Source organism: Homo sapiens, chromosome 4 (genome assembly GCF_000001405.40).
Source record: "Homo sapiens chromosome 4, GRCh38.p14 Primary Assembly".
Classification (NCBI taxonomy): domain Eukaryota; kingdom Metazoa; phylum Chordata; class Mammalia; order Primates; family Hominidae; genus Homo; species Homo sapiens.
In genome coordinates, this window is record NC_000004.12 from 32,388,737 (window position 1) to 32,397,316 (window position 8,580).

An 8,580-nucleotide genomic window follows, 5' to 3' on the forward strand; every position below is an offset into this window, starting at 1 on the left:
TATTGTCTTGTATTTATATCTCTAATTTTTAAGTGATTGTCCTGGGATTTACATTATAATGGTTTTGAATTGTCTCAGTACTATTTGAAATAACATTATATAACTTCTTACTTCTAGCAGAAACCTTTTACAAGTATTTCCATTCTTTCCTCTTTTTTTTTTTTTGTTGTTGTTGTCGTGTGTGTCATTGTGGTCATCAGCACAGCAAATTAAATCTATCAATAGATTACATGAGTAACACATCATGACCAAATGATGCTCTTCCTGGAATTACAAGGTTGGTTTAACATTCAAAAACCAATCATTTAATTTCCCATTCTCAACAGACCAGACTAAAAAAGAATAACATTATTTTAATAGACACATAAACATGTTTAACAAAATACAATGTCTAATTATAATAAAAACTCAGAAAGCTAAGAAACAGAATCAAAGAAAAATCTACAACCCATGCTACACTTAGTGGTACAAGACTGAATTATTTCCTTCTAAAACGAGGAAAAACTGAAGATAAAATTCCATTCACTTCTCCTATGAAGCATGATACTCGGTATTATCTTGTAATATCTTCAACTCTTCATTCTACTAAATTGAATTTCTCTTGATTTCATTCATTTTTCCCTCTTCTCCATCATGATTGCATGATTGCATTCCAACAAAATAATTTTTTTTCTAAACTTTCACTTTGATTTCCTCTCTGCAGTTATACATTCTCACATACAATTATTTATCTAAACATTTAAATTTTCATTCCATTATTTGCTGCTGGGTGTTTCCAAGGCATTGTTTTCATTGCTGGAAACAACATTATAAAGGCTTCTTATGAGGAAATATAGTCATTTTCAACTTTCTATTTAGGTGTCACCTTCTCATCAAAAATTTCTATTGACCAATATCCTAGATCTCTTTCTTGGGGAGGCAGAGGGAGATGGTTTAGTGGGAAGAATATTTATTAGAGAAACAAAATCTGTGGAAGGAAGAAGGAAGCAAGCCTGGCCAGAGAGAGAAGTTGAGCTGCAGTGCTGCCTTGGTTCACTCCACAGGGAGCTCTGGAACTAAAATTACCAATCAGAGTTGCACTGCATCATATGAAAACTTTTAGGCCTTTGTTTCCCCTATATTATCCCATTTATGCAATATTCTCTAAACGCAAAAACAATTGAGGCAGAAAACAGTCAGTCATTGTCAGGTGCTTGGGGTGGGGCATAGGCAGGAGAGTGACAAAAAAGTTGCATTAAATAAGTTTTTGAGGTGATGGAAATCTTTGATATCCTGACTCTGTGACAGACTATATGTGTTTGTCAAAATCATCAACTTGTGCATCTAAGTAGAATTAATTTCCGAATACCTAATTATTTCTCAATCCACCAGACAAAAAATAAAACTGAATGAGTTTTAATGACAATATTAAAATTAATAGACAAACATCTGGCGTACCTAACAAAGAGTGAAGAGAGAAAATTCAGGTATATAGCATTTATAATTAAAAACATATAAAATAGGTTTTTTAACACAATCCACACAAATTTGAAAATTCTTTAAAATTTGTTCTTTAAAGTATATATATACGTTTCTGTGTGTGTGTTCATGTGTGTGACTTCATAAGACTATCAGAAACTTTCAAAGATAGTAGCAGAAAAAAGTAAAATCTGAATAAATTAATAATAAAGTTAAAAATGCTGTCAAAAACTACTTTCACTAACGATTTTACTGATGATTTAGTTTTAAAGAAGAGTTACCTTCTGTGGTCCTGTTTCTTAGACTTTAATATACATTTATACTATTGGATAATTTGGAAAATGCAGATTCTTTATCACTACATCTTGAATATGGTTGAAGAATCTGTGTTTTAATAAATGCCCAGATAATTTCAGTGTTACTTGTGCTTGAATTTTCTTTCAGTAGCAAAATCGTATGATACTTAAAGTGCTTTATATTTAGAAAATGATAATATTTGTAAGAACTTTAAAAACTATCATCACAAGGTGGAACTAAAATCTTAGAAAATTAACTTAATCAGTAATTTACCAAAAGAACATACATGTAGACACAGACACACACACACAGACACGTACACATGAGAATTTTTAAAATCAAATTTCCAAAACTGTTGTAAACATAGCAGCAAAAAAGTAAAGCCTGCTTGAAGAAAACCAGTAAAGCTTATAGTAAACTGTCAAAAATTAAAAGTATGAAAAGATTCTTTTTTTATTTGTGGTTGGAAAACTCAATCTTGTTAAGTAGTATCTGCAATTTTATAAAATGATACAAAATATCATCTGAAAGCCTAAAAAATATGGGAATCGAAAGGCTTAAAGACAGAGAAAACCTGTACAGCTTCAATTGAAGATAACATTTTTAGCATGATAGAAGTGACAAGAAATAGAAGACAGATCAATGTACTGAGAAAATAATCCAGAAACAAAATTATAGCGGTAAAAACTTAAAAAGTGCCTTTTTATGTCAATGATAAAAAAAATCTAGCTCAATATGTTAATTTATTATAAATGAATAACTACATTTAAAGAACAATGTCTGGCCCGCTGTGGTGGCTCATGCCTGCAATCCCAGCACTTTGGGAACCCAAGGCAAGTGAATGGCTTGAGCTCAGAAGTTTGAGACCAGCCTGGGCAACATGATGAAAAAAAAAACACACAAAAAAATACAATAAAATTGAGCTGGGTGAGATGACACAGGCCTGTAATCTCAGCTACTCAGGAGGCTGAGGTGAGGGGATCTTTTAAGCCCAGGAGGCAGAGGTTGCAGTGAGCTGAGATCTTGCCTCAGCAGTCCAGCCTGGGCCGGGTGCGGTGGCTCACGCCTGTAATCCCAGCACTTTGGGAGGCCGAGGCGAACGGATCATGAGGTCAGGAGATGGAGACCACGGTGAAACCCCGTCTCTACTAAAAATACAAAAAAAGTCAGCCGGGCATGGTGGCGGGCACCTGTGGTCCCAGCTACTGGGGAGGCTGAGGCAGGAGAATGGCGTGAACCCGGGAGGCAGAGCTTGCAGTGAGCCGAGATCCCGCCACTGCACTCCAGCCTGGGTGACAGATCGAGACTCCGTCTCAAAAAAAAAAAAAAAAAAAAAAAAAAGACTGCAGGGACTGCAGATAAACTCACACAAGTTCTTTGCTATGAACCTCCAGAGTTGCTATTTCTATTACCATCTATTTAAATGGTTTTCTCTCTAACTGTAGAATGTCCAACATGATTATGTCTGCATTATAAATTATTCTAAAATAAACTACAAATCTTTTACAAAGTAAATACAGATTTGTGATAAAACCACAAAAATCCTGAGAAAATTTTCTTGAGCAAATTCTCTGGTTTACCTCATCATGGAAAATGGAAGAGTGAATTAGAAGAAATTTTAACATAGGAAGCTTACCAGAGAGAATTCTTAAAAGTTCAGACACTGTGGAAAGCAATTTGGAGATTTCTCAAAGAATGTATGAGAACTGCTATTCATCCCAGCAATCTCATTACTGGATATATATATCCAAAGGAATATAAATTATTCTACCATGATAACACATGCACACACATGTTCACTGCAGTACTATTTACAATTGCAAATACATGGAATCAACCTAGATGCCAATCAGTGGTGGTCTGGATAATAAAGCAAATGTGGTACATATACACCATGGAATACTATGCAACCATAAAAGAATGAAATCATGTTCTTTGCAGCCACCTGGATAGTCCTGGAGACCATTGTCCTAAGTGAATTAATACAGGAACAGAAAAGCAAATACTGCATGTTCTCACTTATAAGTGGGAGCTAAATACTGAGTAAACAAGGATGCAAAGGAGGGAACAACACACACTGGGGCCTACTTGAGGGTAGAGGGGGAGGACCAAAAACCTACCAAATCAGTACGATGCTCATTACCTGGGTAATGAAATAGTCTGTACACCAAATTCCTATGACACACAATTTATCCATATAATGAACCTGTACAAGTACCCTCGAACCTAAAATAAAAGTTGGAAAGATAAAAAAAACTATAATCTTAAAACAAAATAATAAGGATAATAACAACAAAAAATTAAGTGGACTATGCCAAGTCTTGCTTATTTTAAAATCCTTTCCCTGGTAGCATCAATGTATAGCCTTTACTGTAAGGAACATGGCATTAGCGTTTTGTACTTTAGTAAACAGACTATATTTTTAGATCTCAGGTTCACTGATCTGAGTTACTAAGTTAGTTGTGATTGGTGTAGAGTGATGACGTTATTTATTCTCTAAGTGACTTGTACACCAAATGTATGTCTTATGAAAAATAATGTGTTATGTATGTTTATGTACCTATTTTTGTATCTGTGATTCTGTGTAGTTTATCAAACCAATCTTCAAATTTGAGATTTCTAAATACCAGAGGCTTGAGGGTTTTGTGTAACCCTCCTCATCCACTCAAAAATCCCTATATATATTTGCTCAGAAAATATCTATCCATGTCCCTAGAGAAACATAGTTATTTACACCAAAGATATATTGTATGTAATAGTTATACAGCATGAATAAGTCTAGAGGTCAAATGTAGACCATGAGGACTGTAGTTAGTAATATTGTATACTGGAAATTTGCAAATAATAATTTCAGGTATTTTCATCACACACAAACACAAACACAAAAGGTAATCGTGAGAGGGGATGGATATGTTAATTTGCTTGACCGTAGTAATCATAATCACTTTACTATGTATATGTAATTCTGTTGTACACCCTAAATTTATATAATTAGAGAAAAGGTTTTACAGTCATATAATTTCGGTTATTCATGTTTTGATTGATTAATAGGATCACATTTTTATCATTTTACATATTCATCAGTAAAACAATAAAAGCATTGATCTGATCATTAAAAGAAGACATCTGTGTCTAGCTGAGAGTTTGTGGATGTTTAAAAACATTTTCTGTATTACCCAATTTGTAATGTTGCAAACATAAAACTGATATTTAAAAACAAGATTTCTAATTGCATTTCTTTTGTAATCAGGAAAGAAAATGAAGCAATGGTTTCCTCCTGTTTATTAAGAGCCATTAGGGTAATGCATTAGTTATCTACTGCTTCTCAACAAATTATCCCCAAATCTAGCATCTTAAAACAATATACATTTGTATAGTCTCACGTAGTTTCAGTTGGGTGGATATCTGTGTGTGTCTGGCTCAGTGTCCTGAGAGTATAGTTAGTATGTTTATGTCATCTGAAAGCTTAACTAGGGCTGAATAGTCTGCTTCTAAACGTGCTCACTGAAATGCTTGGCAAGTTAGCACTGGTTGCTGGTAGGAGGTGCCGTTCCTTGCCATGTGAACTTTTAAATAAGGCTGTTCAAGTTTGTTTATGGGTTGACTTTTAATTTTTCTCAGAGCTAGTGATTCAAGAGAAAGCAAGGTGGAAGCAACAATGTCTTTTAACACCTAGCCTGGGAAGTCACAGTTCATCATTTCTACAGTATACTATTTTATATAAAAGTGAACCCTACTGGGTTTGGGAGGGAACTCCACAATGATGTGGATCCTAGGTGGAAGGACTCCTTGTGGGGATATGGAGGCTGGCTACTCTTTGAGAAGCTTTCCTCACTACACTGATTTTATCCCTTAAAAATATAAAATACTACAAGCAATGCAAATATTGGAAATACCCATTTCCATGAAACAACATGAATAACAAACTTGTCTTACAATTTGTACAACTGTTTTGCAATATCAGCAGTATTTTATACTAAAAGATTTACTATTTTTCAATGTCATATGTCATTAGCTATTTATCCCATAAACCATCTTATTTGCTAACAATGTTTAAAATAGGTCAATTAAAGAAGATTAGCAAAACAACAGACAAAAAAAGAAGAGGAAATATTAGCAAACAAGTATACGGTCTACCTTAAATGCAACTATTCATACTAATGATCTAAATAATGACAAAGCCGTAAAGTCAGGGATATATCATTGGCCAATATTTTCTAATGACAGCTTATGAAATTAGGAGTAATACAAATAATAATAATAGCATAGGAATTACAGTGTGGAAAATTAGAAATGTGAAAGCTTCTTGACGTAATTGCAAATTAATGTATGCAAATTATTTTAGTTTGAAATTCCACATTTTATAAAACATAACATTTTTAGAAACTTTCAGAATGTACTAGGTTATTAAAATGTAAATTAAGACTTTATTTTAGAAAAGAGAAGGTGAAGATGGATCCACCTGTTGTGTACTCTGCTCCTAACCTGGGCGATGGCATCATTCATACTCTAAGCCTCAGCATCACACAATATACTCATATAACAAACCTGCAGCTATACCCGCTGAATCTAAAATAAAAGTTGAAATTATTAAAACATAATAATAACAAAGTTTGATGGTGAAGTTACATGACATCTCAAAGTTTCTATCAACCATATAGTTTTATGAGAAAATAAGAGTTTTCATCTTTCTAATTCCCCCATTCTAAATCTTATTCCAAGCAAGGTGGCAGATTTAAATATTACCCAGGATGATAAAACATTTTCTGATTAAGTTTAAACCCAATGCTTTTTAGTATTTTTACTAATGAACCTCACTGAAAAACAGAAATCCTGCTCATTGAAGTTAAGATAATAATCAATTTTTAAATGTAGTTTTAGTTTCAATCCTTTCAAACTAGTTATATCTCTAGGTTTAAAAAAAAAATCAGAGGGATGTGATTGGCTGAGGAAAAAGGAATAACTGAACTATTCCTTAGGACAGTACTTTCAAAATATAGGACATACTATCTTGATAATATATAAGGTAAAATTGAGTAAAATGTAATTTAATAAATACAATTAAGTATTTGCTAATTTATATTGATGGCAATGATTTATTTAATATTCTATGGCAGCTACATATTTTCTATAAAAACTTTATAGAGGTAACAAAAATGAAACAATTTATATAAAATACTTAATAATTGGAACAGTCTTATGTGAATACAGTACAAAAACAGCTTCAATTTTGCAAATAGTTTTAAGACTTAGCTATTACAGTGTGTAGGTTTTCCTTTGGACATTTAATGATGTTCTTACCCCAATATGGAACCACAGACACTCCAGGAAAAAAAAACTTGGCTATATTAAATTGATTGTAAATTATTTCAATAGAAAATTTAAACCAGGATGTCTGATAGGTCAGTTCTGGCAATAAAGCTCTTCAGTATCCACTATCAGCTGTCAATGATTTTATCTTCCTCCCATTACTCATGCTCATGGATGATACTTGCTCACTGATGACCTTGTAATGTTTAAATTATGAAGTCAAGATAAGGATTCTGTGGAGTAGACTAGACTTCATGAATTTGCAAACTTCATGGTTCATAGGCAAGGCATGTGGAAGATTCATGTGTCAAGCTTCCATTCAACCAGCATCTTTGTAGTCCGACATGAAGCAATTCTCCTTCATTCAAAAAAAATTCAAAAAAAAAAATTTGGTGGATTTGATACTATGTTCCTGGCATTTTGTTATGTCCAAAGTTTAAACTGAGGGAGAATGTCTTTGTGGAAATTTAGAGAATAATGATACGTTTATAAAATGAAATTTAAAAATGCAGTAAGATTGGCATAAACCATGAGCCAGATAAACACAGCACGATATTGAAAGCATGAAGAAGACAACCAATGTCTCATATTTTTTAAACTAATTATATTTTGATATTTTGAGCCATAGAAAAATACACTGAATATATAAAAAACCACCCAAACATTGAAAATCCTAATTTAATATTATAATGGATTTGTCAAATTTCATTTTATTATATAAAATAAAATGTATTGAAAAACCCTAAGACCCCTTTGAATTGAGAAAGAATACACAAGAATGTGCACTGATCCCACCTTTAATGTCTATGGCTGAAATCATGATGTGTCACCCAGCTCCACCTTTAAGAAAGGACGTGTGAATGCTGATGAGATTGCCATTGTCAGACAATTGGGATCCAGCTGTCAGCCGATTTAGGGATTGCCTAACCTTTCAAGAGCCACATTGTCCAAGGTCAGTCTCCTCCCAGGGCAGCTGATGTCCAATGACTGATTGAGGTGGCCATAAAAACGATGAGACATTTTAAGGTAACGCAATATGATTCTGATCGACCATTCAAGCTGTGGAGCTCTCTTTTGTGTCAGCTAAGGCAGGCATCAGGACAGCATCATAGATCAACTTCTCTCTCTCCCTGGTTATGCTTCCATCCCCTCCCTTCCAAAGGCATTGACTTCAATTAATACCGTCAATATCACTTAGCCCACTAGACTCCACCACAGTGTGTTTCTGTCCTCGAAAGCAACCTGTGACAAGGGTCAACAACATTTTTCTCACATCTTCATTTCATTAATTATATTTTACTAATTGATCTCAATTAATCATTAGAATTTAGCATTTTCCAATACTAATGGGAAAAGACATAAATAATTTTAAACAAAATTTAAGTATAACATATAGTCAAGTGTCTACCTAGACATATAAAAAGGGATTCAGTGTTATGAAATATTAAAGTTTAAAAATGTAGTATTTCCTCTGTTTCTGACTTTCTAAAAAGTGTTAATTTGGTTATTTGTTTA

The 8,580-nt window shown here is 33.4% G+C and overlaps 1 annotated feature.

The window, feature by feature from the left end:
* Window positions 7,653-8,371: an enhancer, noted in NCBI's record as "OCT4-NANOG hESC enhancer chr4:32398011-32398729 (GRCh37/hg19 assembly coordinates)". NCBI's record gives its function as "activates a minimal SCP1, AML or CMV promoter by ChIP-STARR-seq in naive H9 embryonic stem cells {active_cell/tissue: H9 hESC(naive)}" and the evidence as "EXISTENCE:reporter gene assay evidence [ECO:0000049][PMID:30033119]".